Source organism: Homo sapiens, chromosome 3 (genome assembly GCF_000001405.40).
Source record: "Homo sapiens chromosome 3, GRCh38.p14 Primary Assembly".
NCBI lineage: Eukaryota > Metazoa > Chordata > Mammalia > Primates > Hominidae > Homo > Homo sapiens.
This window is the reverse complement of record NC_000003.12, coordinates 135,990,404-136,006,690: the sequence shown is the minus strand read 5'-3', so window position 1 is coordinate 136,006,690 and position 16,287 is coordinate 135,990,404. Positions and strand designations below refer to the sequence as shown.

The following is a 16,287-nucleotide window of genomic DNA, read 5'->3' as shown; positions in this document are numbered from 1 at the left end:
ATGGTGGGTGATAACAGTGCTTTTGTATCATTCACCATACTTTTCTATTTGCTTAAGATGGGTTGACAAACTTCAGTCCATGGACCAAATCTGGCCCACTGCCTGTTTTTCTAAGTCTTGGAGCTAAGAATGGTTTACATTTTTAAAGCACTGGGTTGTTTGTTTGTTGGTTTGTCTTGCAAAGGGCAAATAAGACTACATGACAGAGACTCTGACCCATAAAGCCTAAAATATTTACTATCTTGCTCTTCATAGAAATGTTTGCCAATTCCTCACTTAAACTTTTCATAAGAAAAGAAAGATTAAAAAAAGACAAGTAGGAAGGCAACTGAGTCAAGGAAGAATGGTTTGTCTTCTTGCATTAAGCATCTTCCTGAATTAAACATTTTATATTACCTGTCTCTTTGAATTAGCTTTTCATTAAGTACTTTTCCAACTTTTATCAAGAAGAAATCTCATCAAATTTTATTATATTCTGTGATATTGAAACTTATTTAAAAGAATGGCAGGAGACAATCTTTTAATAAGATTCTGATTTCAGTCCATTACTTGTCAAAAAAGTGGGAAGCACATTTAGAGCCCAGTGTGGCATTTTAAGGTAGCTGTACCTAGATTGGGGGTCACGGGGAACCCACTCATGAGGTGTTAGCCAGGAACACAGGACAGGTGATGCTCAGACATTTTCTACTTTATGCAGTCCATCTCTTTTTAGAGAATTTGTCTCCTTTTTGTCACAGAAGATAATGGGGGAAGAGGGTTGAGTAAAATTCAAAACACCGTATCACAGTGAGAGTTTCTGGTTATAATGGTTTTAAGATATTGGAATAGGTCATCAGAGAAAGCAGATGTTTCTTCAATGGGCAGACAGGTTATTGTGAGGGAAAATAGTGAGATAATACCTTTAAATGTCTTAGTATGCCTTAGTTCACAATAACTGGTAGCTCTTATGACATTATTATCATTTTGAAGTTGCTATGTAGGTATTTTCTTTCCTTTATAATAAACTATTAAGCACATCAGTATTGCCTGTGTACTGCAATGTGTCATGTGGGAAAAAAAACCATGTGAAGGGATTTTTCTTACTTTTGTGATTAATTCCAAGTTTCTCCCCTAGTGTTGACCCCAAACTAAAGATACTACCACCTGTGAACCAACAAATGAGGAGATTCACACAAAGTAATTTCACAGAAATGCTCAGGGAACATCTGTGATATTTAGACCCAAATAATCACTTAGTAACCTTATTAAAAGTATGTATTGTTTTAAACTTTAGTGTTGCTAGTGACTAAAAAAGTCCACAGAAGAATAGCAGCCACAAAACATACAGACTGAGTATCCCTTATTCAAAATGCTCATGACTAGAAGTGTTTTAGATTTAGAATTTTTTTGGATTTTGGAATATCTGCATATACATAATGGGATACCTTGGGGATGGGGCCCAAGTCTAAACACGAAATTTATTTGTTTCATATATACACATAGCTTGAAGGTAATTTTACACAGTATTTTAAAGAATTTTGTACGTGAAACAAGGTTTTGATAGCGTTTTGACTGTGACCTGTCACAAGGTCAGGTGCAGAATTTTCCACTTGTGGCATCATGTTGGTGCCCAAAAAGTTTCAAATTTTGGAGCACTTTGGATTTTGGATGCTCAACATGTACCAGGGAAAGAAAGATTCATCTGATGACAATATGCATTTGTTCCCCTGCTCAAATGACAGTTGTAATGAGAAGCCTAATATGTAACTTGTATTTTAACTTGGCCACATAAATGGCATCTCAAATATCCAATTAGTTTTTTAAAAAATTACTACGTAATATTTAAGAATATAAAAAAGCACAAAGAATAACATGACAAAATACTTACAGATCTACTACCCAGATTATGAAGTAAAATATGACTAATACTATTCAGGCCCCCTGTACGCCCTTCCTCAGTTGCATTTCCCTTCCTCCAGGATTAACCATTAACATTGGATTTTGTGTATCCATGTATTTCTTCATACTTTTTGTAAAAATGTATGTATCTCAAAATGATTCATATCCTTATTTTACAACTTGCTTTTGTCGATTTGGCTTTATGTCTGAATTCATACATGTTGATACATATAGCTCATTCATGTGGTAGGGGCAGTGCTTAACAAATATTCCATGTGCTTTTCTATGTTTCTTAGATTTTAGGTTGGGAATCACTGGACTGTGAACAGAAATGAAGTGTGTCCAAGTTTGGGACAAGGCAGTTAAAAGCATCACCCCTTTGTTCCCCTCCTTCAGTGAACTCAAAAGCCACATATCCTAGATGGGTCAATGGGCAGCAGTAAGAACATGGAGCCTCCATCAGACTGGGTCCTTGAATGAAGTAGAGCAGAGCCTCTTGCTAACCCATGTTGGACTTATAAAACGAACAAGGAATAATCTTGTTGTGCTACGACACACGTATGTAAATAAAATGGGAAGACAACTGCCTTTCTGGGAGTATTCAAAAGCAGTGCTTTCAGTAGGGGGATGGATTAAAAACTTTTGAAAATACTTCCGTGATTCTAGATTGATATTTATTCTCAGTTGCCTGGAGAATCAAATCTTACCCTTTAGTCTTTATCTTCTTTGAAGGCCTACTGTTATGACAATACTTTCAGAATGGTGTTCACATGCTCATGAACTGTTTCAGACATTGTCAGTTTTGTCTCTACAAGTGGATTTTAAGCTCTTAAAGAATCATGTCTTCTCTCCTTTTGTACTCTACACTAACCTTACACAGGTCTACACAGGCATGCAGTAACAACTGGTCTCTTGGTTGGCTGGGGAGGGTGACGACTAATATTAAATGCCTACTTTGTGTAAGGAACCTTGCTTATGTTTCACACAAGTTATTTTGATCCTTATTATTTCCACCATAAAGATGAGGATATTAAAGGTAAGTAATTTTTCTTTGGTCACAGAGCTGGGAAGAAGATGAAGGGTATGGGGAGGGCAGTAGGAACCAGTCTGAGTCTAAAGTCTTTGCTTTTTTTTTTTCCTCTATCATCTTGTATAATCTTTGCTTTTTACTGACTCTGAGCTGAGTGAGATCATTCCTAGTGTAGGGCAGAGCTTTAGTAGAACAAAAAATGGCTAACAAAAAAGTTTTTCTTTATAAAATTTTCAAACACTAAACATTTTTTAAAGAGTTCCTAGGACTCAAAATTGTTGGGTCTTACCTTGATCACCTCTGGAGTCTGCTGAATCAAAACTGCTGAAGTAGTATCTTTGGCTTTATCACCAACAGGACTTCTACAGACTGATAAATTGGCCTGGGAGGAAGTTGTCAAGGTTTCCTGTAGAATTTGCATCATTTCCTTTTCTTGTGATAGGCTCCCTCTGCTTGATTTGCATTCAACTAGTTCTTGAGCAAAGTCTTCAATGCTTTCCAGGATTCGCAGTAAGAGGGCTCGATCCTCTTCCTCTATTTTGTGTCCATTGGTTTCAATAATCCTTGTTAGACAGGAAGGTGAGACTTTTTCTATGGGTGAAGAGACTTTAGATTTAGGCTCAAGATCTACAAGGGTCTGACCGGTCAACTGACTGTGACTATTTAAAAAATTAGAGTTTTTACCCTTCGCAAGTGGCTCTCTTAGAGAGGTCTCCATCTTCTGTGAAAAAGATTCCAAATCCATTAACAATTTATCTATCTCTTCCTGGCTACTGGAATTTGTAAAATCTCTCTGGTCTCCCTCTTCAAATTTAGAAACTTTTGATTTACAGTCTTCCTTAGGTAGATTAACAAATGATTTCTCAAATATCTTACCAATTTCATTTTGCATTGGGGTGGGGCATTTTTTAAGATGAGTAGCATGTTCTGGAAATTCTGCTCTATGTTCATTTACCTTTAATAACTCATGACTAGGTCCATTCTCTGTCTTTTGTCCTTTATCTAATGCTTTCTTTCCATCTGACTCTTCTTCAATATAAAGAGTTTCCATTAAGTCGTCAGAAGAAACATTTTCTAAAGGATTCATGGTTAATGACTGTGATTGGACCTGGACAGCTTTTAGAGTTCTAGGATCATTTACCTCTAAGTTATATAAGGAATTTGTGGAGTTGTTTGGAATGGATTGTACAGTGTCCATCTTCCTAGAATTAGGCTTGTCATTTTGCAATTCAATAGTTTGAAATCGTCCAGAGTCAGAAGCTGAGAGCTGGACAACATCTTCATATTTAGGGGGTTGTTCAGTGCCAAACACTGGGGAGAAGGGAGTCAGTTGTAAGCTAGGCATATTACTGATCAGTTCTGTTAAATCTAGAGCCTCATTATTCCCAGACTGCATGAATTCAAATGGTAACTTTTTCAGATAGGATGCTAACCTGGTCATTACATTCATATAGACAGTTTCAGAGCTAGAAATTGTATCATTACCACTTCCTTCACTGATGCTACTCCCTGATTTTTTCTTTATGCATTGTTTTATGATGTCTGTGCATTTTTTTAAATCCTCGGAGCATTTCAATAAGATGTCCAAGCACATCTTTATGTCTGTCCCAGAAGAAAAATTATCTATTTTATGTTTTTCCAAAATCTGAGTAACCAAGTCTTCTTCAGAAAAGTTTTGAAGAAACATGGAAGTCAGGTTCGTATCCAGTGAGTTTCTATGAGACAAAGGTTTTTCCTCAACTGAGGAACTCCGCAGTAAACCAAAGGATGGGGCGTTCCCATCGTTGTTATAATGGCCACAAAGCAAGTCCAAATCAACTGACCTCCTATTAAATGAGTCAGACTTAACTTTCCTTCCCTTTCTGTAAGCTGCATGGTTAGAGTTTTTGAGTTTTTCAAAGGAAAATTCTTTTATTTTCCCACTGGCAAAACTGATTGCTTCTCCTGCAATATCCTTTAAGTTGTAGGTATTCTGAAATGTAGATCCTCTCTTGACCCTGGGTATGCCTGTGAAGGCCTGTTGGGGATAGTCTCCTTCAGCCGAAGAAAGCCCATTTTCATGGGGTAGAAACATAGAGTTCAGATCTGCATCTTTGAACTGAGACACAGGGATGTGCAAGAGGTCTGCACAAACACTATGGTGTACCACAATGCAGTCAATTCCATGTGTGAAGGTGTGGCAGGTTCCAGTGCAATAATGTATAGCTTGTTCAAAACGCCGGTCTATCACCACGCTGCTGTAGTGGTTCACAGTACTAACCACAAGTCTGTAAGTTGCTGCCATAATATCAAATCCACTTACTGGTGGGACTTGGAACTTTCTAGAACTTGTTTCATGAAAATTCTCCTAAATGACAGTTAGCTGAAAATATATTTAATAACAATGTTCAGTGGTTTCTTCCAAATATAATGGCTTTTCCCATGAAGGGAAACCATTTATATTTGAGGTTTGGTCACTATCAGGATACAGTAGCTGCTGCACATGTGTGGCAAATTTAATAATTTAATAATTGTGCTTTTTAATTTTATTTAGTAATATTATGATACTGCAGAATTATTTTGATGAAAGAATATCCTCTTTTAGTTCTTCAACAGTTCTATAACATGGAAATTTGCTCTCATAAATTTACTATCATAAATCTTAGTTGGTAGTAGAGAAGTATTGTGATAACTGAGTCCTCCAAAGGTTTAAATGATTCATTTTTCTGTGAATGACAGAGAAACCTGTAATAAAAAAAAAAATTAAAAGGAAATTTTTTTAATGCTGGAACTTTTGATTTCCTCTTTCTTTGCATCCCATTTGCAGTTAACCACCACGCTTTATTATCTGCAATATCCCTTACAGCTGATATTCAACTCATGCCTTTGTTTCATCACACCTTATACTCCTTATTGCCTAGAGTAATATTACCTCAACTCTGCCTTGTCACATCTGCCTCTGAGATGAATTTCTTATTGCATGCTCCTTGCCACCTTATATGATATTAAGAAGCTTAGATTTACACGGCATTTTCATCCCTCACAGCTTAAAAATTCACACTTCTGATTTCCTCATGGATCACAGCAAGTCTACCTCTTTTGACTCACTTTTAAGTCCCTCAACACCTGTTCCAATCCATCTATAATCATATTTTCTACTATGTCCCTGCACCAACCTTTTGCTTCCATCAACCTAGTCTTCTCAAAGACTACCAACACCTAGTACCTGTTCTTGAGTCTCAAACTTCCTCTACTCCTAGAAATTATTCTCCCATCATCTTCTTTTTGCTTACTGAAAGAAAACACAAGTTTCATTACTGATCTTGATCCCATCTCCCAGACCCTGCTCCATGTGGATATCTCTCTCTCTGCATCAAGTGGACAGAATTTACTTAATCATTCTTTTTAAAGAACAGCTTTTAAAATATACTGTAGTTGCTTTCCAAGAAGGTTCTGTCAATGTATTTATTCCGTCAACAAATACTGACTACCTACTGTGTGTACCAGGTTCTTTGTATACACTAGGGATAGAGCAGGAAATAAAACAAGGGGAAAAAACCCAACATACAAGTTAAACATATAAACTTATCATATGGTGGCATGTGTTGGGGAGAAAAATGATGCAGGGCAAGGGTTTAGAAATGCTGGGAGGGTGCTGTTTTATGAAGGGTTGTCAGAGAAGACCTCACTGACATCTGAAAAGCAGAGACCTGAAAGACTAGAGGAAGGAGGCCAAGGAGGTATTATGAGGTAAATCCTCCAGGGTAGAATAACCGCAAGTACAAAGGCCCTAGAGTGGAGCATGCGTGATTCACTAAAAGAATGGCAAAGTGACCAAAGTGGGTGGAGCAGAGAAAGCAAGGAGACAATGTGGGAGATGACATGGCCTGTAGTCCCAGCTACTCGGGAGGCTGAGGCAGGAGAATGTCTTGAACCCGGGAGGCAGAGGTTGCAGTGAGCCGAGATCACGCCACTGCACTCCAGCCTGGGTGACAGAGCGAGACTCCATCTCAGAAAAAAATAAAAATAAAAATAAGTAAATAAATAAAAATCTGATGAACTTTTCACGAGTCATCTTGCTGAGAAAGAAAAAGGGGATGGGGCAAGACTTAAAAGAACGAATCACAAATTTAGGTCTTTGAGTAAGTTTTGAAAGGACATCAACAGCAGAAAACCAAACCTCAAGGGGTAGCACCAACTATCAATGAGAAATTTACAGTCTAAAATCATTTGAGTTAAAAAAAAAATGCCAAAGAATCAAAGATTACTTTCCCTGCTATTTGTTTCAGACCCATGGGTGTCAAATTCTGCCTTTTTATTCAGACCATAATTCAATTGATGCCCAGTTAACTAGATGGAATCTTAGACATGGAATCTAATCCACTATTTTCAATCAGAGATCCAACCTAACTCAGAAGCACCATGCAGTCCTGCGTCTAAGAGAAAGCTAGACTCCATGGTTTTGAAGCCCAATCCTGCCAGTGTGGCCTAATATAAGGTGGTTAACCTTGTCAGTCTGTTTCAACGGCAAAATGGAGAGAATAATAATACCCATCTCATGAAGATTAAGTTAACATATGTCAGATGCTTACAACAGTACCTAAGACTCAGTAAATGCACAATAAATATTATTGCTGTTATTGCTCTAATTCACTTATCAAACATTTCCTACTCTGTGCCTGACCCTGGGAGAATGATGCCAAATGACATATAGTGATGTCTTCGGAGTGCTCAATGTTTAATGAGGGCAGTGACAGAAGCAAGCAAGCACAGCAGCTATTGGGAGTGAGGCCAAGTTTCTCCCATTTTGCTCCCCCAATTAATAAATGTTCTTTTCAGAAAAGCTGGACAATATTCACAAGCAGAAATAAACACTGTTGATATTCTTATGTATATACTTTAACTTTCTCTTACAAAAATTTATAAATGTATGTATTTTTTACAAAATTTGGACCATACTATAACTTACTTTGACAATATCTCACAAATGTACTTCCAGGTCAAAATAGACATAGATCATTTTAATGAATAACATTCTATCATATAAATAAATTTAGCCATTTGTTATTGCTGAACATTTAGGTTATTTACTATTTGTTTTCAAATAAGCAGTGATAAACATTCTTTTACATATATTTTACATAGCTCTCCAGTTATTTGCTTATAATATATTCCACACAGTAAAATGTTGAGTCAAAAGATGTGTGTGTGTGTGTACATATACTTTTTCAAAAAAAGTCATTAGATACATAGGGCCAATCTAGAAGAGGGCCTGTTTCTCCATGTTTTCTTGGACTGATTCCTCTCTTTAAATTTTTGGTAATTTGATTGATGAAAAAAATGGAAGTACATTGTTTTAATCTTCATTTCCTTGATTGCTGGTAAGTCTGAATATCTTCTCATTTACCTATTAGACATTTTGTCATTGTTCACTTGTGAAGCCTTTCTTCATGTCCTTTGTCTGTTTTGAGAGGGAGCATCTGAATCAGACTGAGGAGTCAGGAAAAGTTTCCTGAAATATAGCGATGTAGGTACATAATTTTGAAGGATCAATGAGAGCTACTTAGACAAAAAGGAAGGGAAGAATACTCCAGGTAGAGGGAAACACATATGTGAAGGCAGAGAGGCAGAACACTGCACAGTGAATGCCGAAGTACAAGTAGTTCCAGCCAGTTTCACTGGCGGGCGTATAGAGACAAGCAAGAGGGCAGGAAAACAGAGCAGCAGCAGCAGCAAAAGCCAATCACAGTTGGCCTTTGTATGCTAAACTAAGGAGTCTGAACTTTATTCTGAAAGCTATGAGAAAAACAAAGACTTTTAGGCTAGAGAGTAAGAGTAACACGATGAAATTTGTTACAGAAAGATCACTGTAGCACCTGAGTGGAGGATAGATAGGAACCAGACTGAAGACCTAGAAATCGATTAGGAGGTTATGATAATAATCCATGCAAGAAGTGATGAGAATCTAAACCAAGTAGGTGACAGTAATAACAAAGAGGAGGGCACTGATTAGCCCAGGAGGAAGAATCCATAGAACAGCAGGAGGGGAAAGTGACAGGGAGGAATCTTGGATTTCTGGCTTAAGTACTGGGAGACTTGTGTTGCTAATCCTAAAACAGACTTTTTGTTTTTGTTTTACAGGGGGTGGCCACAGGACAGATAAAGTTATTTTCTGAATGTGTTGTTTGAGGAGGTACCTGTGGAATATCTAAGTGGTGATGACTGAATGAAATGTGAACACAAAAACCTGGAGGTCAGCAGAAAGATCTGGGTTGGAGACGCAGCTCTGAGAATTTACTCAGGGTGAGTGCATAAAGTGAGGGGAGCTCTGGACTGAGGAAAAGTTGAGGATCAATGACATTTCTGGGTTGAAGAGAGGAACAGAATTCTTAGAGGGAGTCTAAGAAGAAAGAGAAAAAGATAACAAGAAAACCAGGAGAAAGCAGTTTTATGGAGGCTGAAGAAGGGACTTTCCAAATGGAGGTCACTAGCACTGGATGTTACTAAGAGGTCCAGGAAAAACAAAAAACTGGATTTGCCAATATGAAGGTTGCTGGTATCCTTATCACGTGCAATTTCAGGGACTTGGTGTCAAAAAAAGTGGTGTAGGTAGACTAGATTTTCCATTAGTTTTTTTGCTAAGAAAAGGAGGGCTATAAAACGGCAGCTAGAAGAGAATGGAGATATGAATTTTTTCTTAAAGGACAGAAGATATTTGAGCTTGTGTACATGTTGAAGGGAAAGATCCAGAAAAAGCTTTGAGGACCCAGGAACTAGTAGCCAAAGCCCTGGTGAGGGGATTAGTCTCAGAGGAAGGTGGATACCTTTCCTAGTGAGGCAGGGGGAAAGAAACCAGTTTATAAATGGAAGAAGAAAAATACAAGGAATTTTTTTCCATGACAGGTTCAATTTTTCTCAGTGAAACTGAAAGCAAAATTATTGATTAAAGTTTAGGGGGCAGGAGAGGTATTAAGGAATTTGGGAAGATAGTGAAAATCTGAAATAGATGTTAATGAAAATAAGGAGGTATCTGATTAGGAACAGGCAAAAGTAAGGATAGATCCTGAAACACTGAGCAGGACTGATGTAGAAGTAGAGATGGTACAAATGACTAGCTTGATCTAGGGCTTCTCGTGAAGGCCAGAATACAAAAAGAAGTATGAAGTAATATGTTTATTGATTAAATAATGCTGATCAAGAAGGAGCAAAGGAGAGAAAAAGTTCCTTAGCAATTTACTAAATATCTTCCACTAGGATGACATCTGTTTGTGCAATAAGCTTTAACTCTGTTAGATTAACCAACAAATATTTCTCTCTACATATCAGTGGACACTTCATTAAATCATTTGAGATGTAGAAGGTCTATTTTTTCATCAGGCTTCTTTTAAAAGTTGATAGAAATAAAAGTGCCTCTGCTAACTTTAAGCAAAAAAATGTGAAGACAAGAAAACTTCAAAGTAGAAAAGAAAACCTTAAAAATTTTCACAAAAATGACAGTTTAGAAGAAAAGTTTGGTTATAAATACATTTTTACAAAGCAGCAGCCTTTAAATAACAGGAACAAAGAGAAAGTTTCTGAGGCCAGAATCACATTAATTATTGAGCTACAGTATTTTTCAATTCTAAAATACATTTTTTTTTGGACATTTTAACATCACTTAAATGGAAATACATCTTATAGTTGGTAGCATCTTAAAATCCCTATTGGTCAGGCAGAACTGTGACATGGTTGTCATTTATTGAACGCACTCTAGTAAGGTCAAGAAAACACCATTGTAAAAAAACATGCAGAATAACTTGGCAGAAAATTCCCAAAGATCATAGCAGAACACTCTTTTAAGAAATGCGTCATCACCAAACACTCTGGATGGCAGAGAAAGAAAGTATAAACATCGGTGGCTCTAAATTGAAAAGTGATTTTAAAGAGTCTGAATCCGAATAGATGAAATTCTAGAAATATTTTAGCCAATTATTTCCACTGTATTTTATTTATATATGCACAAGAGTGATATATAGTTAAAAATATCCATCAGGCCAGGTGTGGTGGCTCATGCCTATAATCCTAGCACTTTGGGAGGCCAAGGTGGGCAGACTGCCTGAGGTCAGGAGTTCACAATCAACCTGGCCAACATGGTGAGACCCCATCTCTACTAAAAATACAAAAATTAGCTGGGCATGGTGGTGTGTGCCCGTAATCCCAGCTAACTTGGGAGGCTGAGGCAGGAGAATTAAAGGAACCCGGGAGGCAGAGGCTGCAGTGAGTCTAAGGCTGCAGTGAGCCGAGATCGTGCCATTGCACTCCAGTCTGGGCAACAGAGACAGACTTCATCTCAAAAAAAAAAAAAAAAAAAAAAAAATCTGTCAACGTAAGTCTCATAGAACTCTTTCAATGAGTAAAAAAAGTTCTAGAGGATAAGCACTCTATCATAATCAATAGAGTTTTTTCTTAATGGCATATGAAATAATGAGTTTTATAATCTTAGATGAGATAAAATATGAGAAAAATTTTCAGTCTAAACATCTGTTATAGTCTGCTTTATACCCCTAATACAACAGACTACTTGCAAAATCATAATTGTTCTGAATGTGTATATTTATGCACCTCAGGTCTGTGGCATGCTGCCAGCCCCACCCCCCCAGGCTTTTGGTCTCTGCTGGTCCTTTCATCTCCACAAAGGGCCAGAGTCTGTTTTCCTAATTTCTGGGTGAGTGTTTCATATGCATCTTTAGAGTTCATTCAACAGATATTTATCAAGCACTTACTATTACCACCACTTTAAGCAGATTACGATTACTCTAACACATACTTTCCAGTGCCTCTGGAAAGCTCCACAATAAACTGCTATATGGCAGTTCCTAATGAAGAAGATCTGCTGTAAAACAAAGGTTTAGAAGCAGCAGATAAGTTAGGATGGAGAGGAACTGGATTTTTGAAAGATAAGAGCCTTATCAGGTAAAAACAGGTTGGACTGCGCCTTGTAAGCAAAAAGGAATTCTATGAAGGCACAGAGACAGAAAAAGGCTGGTGTGTTTAGAGAGGTATAAGGAGTCTGGTATTGGTAACGCTGAAAATGTGCAGTATGGGTTTCACAGTTTTAAAGTCTCCTCCAAATAATAAGAATGAGAAACAGGAATGCAAACTCCATCTTCAAAAACCTAGGAGACACCTGTAACTCCAGATGAAGACAGAAAAGAGAAGTAGGAATGGTAAATGACAGCTTACTGATGACAAGCAAACCAGTTCATACCCTGCACAACCCAAAGAAAGCCAAGGTTTGTTGGTAGCAGGTACCACAGAAAATGGAGTAGGGTAGAGGATTAAACATAGGGGGACTGTTTGAAAGTCTGTAAGAGAATAGTTAGGTCTCCATACCCCCACTCCACAAGCTCAGAAATCATCCCTCTTTCACCCTGCTGAAGATAGAAAGTTGATGTGCTGGGAGGAAAAAACTGAAACAGAAAAGCACCAACATCAGGGGCATCAGACAAAGACGGTGGTAAAGGATTGAAAATAAAGGAGGCCCAGGTCACCAAAAACCAGGCTTACTAACTCCAGCTCCTAGTCTCCACTGTGGATTAAAGAATCTTTTTCTAGAGAAATAGAAATCTCATCTAGCTACATGATCATCTTACAGTGAAGCCCACTAATTGACAAACGCTGTCCACAAACACAGAGCTTCCCTTCAGCTTTTTAGAGCTTCACTTTTATTTTGAAATCAACTTTACTGATAATTTACATACAATAAAAAACATATTAAGTTTGTAATCCAGTGAGATTTGACAAGAACCATGTAACCACTGCCTTAAAAAAGACAGAACATTTTTATCACCGCAAAATTATCCCTAGGCCCTTTCTCAATTTCCCTTACCCATAATATCCAACAACCACTGATCTGATTTCTATTACTGTAGGTAAGTCTCGCCAGTTCTAGATCTTCATATTAGCATAATTACATATGTACTTTTCTCTCTGGCTTCTCTCATTTAGCACTTAGTTTCGAGATTTATCCATTTTACTGTATGTTATCAATTGTACATTCCTTTACACTGCTGAGTAGTATTCCACTGTATGAATGTACCAGAATTTGTTTTGTCTATTCAAATGTTCTGATGCTATTCAACAAATAGATAAAACAAATTCTGGTATATTCATACAGCTGATGGACATTTGAGCTATTTCTAGTTTGTGCTATTATGATTTAAAGCTATTATGACTAATCAAGTAAAAGTCTTTTTGTGGATATGTGTTCATTTCTTTTGGGTAATTAGCAATGGAATTACTGCATCATGATAAATGTACATTTAACTTTATAAGAACCTGCAAAACTGTTTTCCAAAGTGGTTCTACCATTTTATACCCTTAGCAGCACTTGAGAGCTCTAGTAGCTCTACATCCTTTCAGATACTTGTAAATTTTAGCCATCTTAGTGAGTGTGAAGTGGTATCCCACTGTGGCTTTAATTTGCATTTCCCTGCTGACTAATGATGTTGAGTATTTTTTCATATGCTTATTAAAAATTCATATATATCTTCTTTTGTGAAGTGTCTATCCAGAATCTTTTGGGTCATCTCTTATTAGTGAATTCTAAGAGTTCATTACATATATATTTTAAATACAGATATTATCTCCCAGTCTGTGGCTTCTCTTTCCATTTTCTTAGCAGTGGCTTTTGAAGAGTAGGAGGTTTTAATTCTGTAAGTTAATTTCATCAATCCAATTAATCATTTTTTCTTTTATAGTTAATACATTTATATATACTACCTTAAGATCTTTGCCTATCCTAAGGTCATATGGATTTTCAATGGCTTTATAGTTGAAAAGAATGAAACACTTCCCTCACTTGACTCCTGGGACATATTTGGCTGGTTCTCCACCTGCCCTTTGAAAATTCACTGTCTCCTTCCTTGCATCTCTCCTCTTGTCCCCTATGTGCCAGTCTTCCTCAGAGTTTTGTGCTTTGCCCCGTTTCTCATCTTATATATGCTCAAATCTTGTCCACTTTTGTGGCCTTAAAATCTTTATCTGGCGCTTCCTCTCAAATATTTATCTTTAACTCCGGTCTCTTCACTGCCAAGTATATTTAACTACATGGGGAATATTTTCTCCTGAATGTGTACTGAAATCCATGCCTGAAGCTGAATTCATCTCCCTGCAGATATTAGAGCTACATTTTTTGGGGTGTCTCTCCCTAATTTCATGGAGAAATTTGGGAAGTTAATATAATCTTAAACATTAATGTAATGATGGAAATTATAGAACGGTGTTACACATACTATGTTGCTATTTATTTGTTCCACTTCAGGAAACATCTGGAGCAGAGTATGAGGTAAAGAAATTCCACTGCTTATCTCAGCTGATGAAAGGGTTAAAGAAGAAATGATCAACATCAATCATAAAGAAAAGACAGAGTTGATTGAATGTCCATGCCACTTAGGTGGATCACTTGAAGACTAGGAGCAGAAAAAAACTGTAGAAAATTGTCTTGAAAACTTTTTATTTAACAGAGAACACAAGGTGTAATGATTCAGAAGTAATGAGTCATTTAGAAATAATAAAACTATTACTTTGCCTGGAAAACATAGGCAATCTTGGGTGGATGACTCAGTGTGGAAACTGCTTCCAACAGAACAGTTTAAAAGAATACCAAAAGTGTACAGTAAGGCCTATTTGTGGAATAAAAAAGGAGACCTGGAATATTTTATTTGTCATGTCCACTTCAAAAATAGTTGAGAAATTTAAAAAATAAAATAAATAAAATTAATATAGTTGAGAAAATACAACATCTCTTATAGAAAAGATTTTCTGATGCTCAAAGAAAGTGTATACATGGGTATGACAGAAAAATTAATGCTTTAGGTTTAGGGCTAATGTCTGAATGAGGCTAAGGGTAATATAAAAACATTCAGCAGTGGACCTGATTTGAACACATGGGAATTAGGAAGCGCTTAAAAACTAACTTTTATTTTTACCGCAGTGGAGAAACAGGAAATGTGTGGCTGAGGGGAAAAAGCACCAGGTGGGCAGTCAGCTTCTGCACTGACTAGCTGGGTAACTTGGTCAAGTCACTTCCCTCACAGGGATTTTATCTTTTCTTCAGGAAAAACAGGATGAAAAATGGCTCTGGGGTCTAGGGAACATGAGAAAAGCAAAATTTGTTTTTTCTTGGTTTGAATTAAGAAAGGGCTACATTTTACCAGAGAACTATTTTGTATTATTTGATATGGGAAGTATGATGAATAGGCTATTAATATTTAATGCATGTAATCTGCAAAGCTACTGCTTTCTCTGAGAACTATCTCCAAAAGGAATATTTGGGGTTAAACTTTTACCATTTTCTAATTTTAAAAAATTCTTTATTATATACTCCAAAATATCACCAATAGTTTTTGCCTCTGTCTAGCTATATTTTAAGTTACTTTAATTCACACAATTTCCTTTTCTAAGTATTTTTTTATTTTGGAGGAGAACATATAAAAATCAGGTAACATTCTATGGGTAAAAATCATTTAGACAATTCAGAAGAACACATGTATTTTACAACACAGTTTAATAAACATTTGAGTCCCACTACAGGCCAGGTACCCTTCAACATAAAGAACTATGAACTCTATGGTTTTGCCTCAAGCAGCTCACAGTCTGAGCGGGCAGGACAGTGGATACATAACCTTTACGCAAAAGACGACACACCAGAGAGGGGATCTGCCAAACCCAGTCCTGGAATAGAGTAGTGTAGTTGGCTGAAGGGAAAACGTCCTGTAAGAGGGAGCAAAGCAGAAAGCAGCATGGGATGTGTGGGAGCTAGCAGGAACTTGGTATTATTTGAGTCTCAAGTTTGAAGACAGGCTTCCAGGAGCCAAAGCTGAAGGAGTGGGGCAAAGGCAACACAGCATCAGAAAGCCCCCGAGAGGTTACAAATTGTGGCTGCGAGAGGAGACAAGATCAAATGTGCATTGTGGGATATTACTCTTTGTAGCATTGTGGAGGGCAGACTTGAGGACACAAGATGAAGCTAGGTAGGCCAGGTAGAAGGCCTCAGAAGAGTCTAGAAGAGAATCCGTGAGGCTATAAATGAAGGCAGCTCAGGGGCTTAAGTTGACTAATCATGATCACAAAACTGTGAGCGGGATCTAACGTAAGACTTTTATCTTTAAGTCCTGTCCCTTTCTAAATTCCTGTACAAGCACAAATTCTGGTTAAAGATAACAAGAAATCTGAAATTTATTTTTATTAAGTACGGATTTATTTTTAAAAGGACTTTATTCATTAATTTATATTAAGTACTCCAAATGTTCAGGGCATTACAGAAAACAAACACGGCTTGTTTGTAGGAATTTGTGAGATAAAATAAATGAGACAAAAAATAATAGGCCAATTCATTTAAGAGGTATTTATTGAGCTCC

General features: G+C 37.1%; 1 protein-coding gene across 8 annotated transcripts in view; it reads right to left on the bottom strand.

Moving 5' to 3' along the window:
* The window catches only part of PPP2R3A (protein phosphatase 2 regulatory subunit B''alpha), a 182,167-nt gene that overhangs the window by 141,204 nt on the left and 24,676 nt on the right, over positions 1 to 16,287 (bottom strand). For 7 of the 8 annotated variants that reach the window (XR_001740196.3, NM_002718.5, XM_017006787.3 and 4 more), the window contains exon 2: positions 3,198 to 5,632. The exons of the other annotated variant lie outside the window; for it this stretch is intronic. Coding sequence is in view for 6 of the 7 variants with exons in the window: in NM_002718.5 (NP_002709.2) it covers positions 3,198 to 5,192 (1,995 nt within the window). In the remaining variant the exon portion in view is untranslated. The remainder of the gene's footprint in view (positions 1 to 3,197; positions 5,633 to 16,287) is intronic. 8 annotated transcript variants of the gene reach the window in all.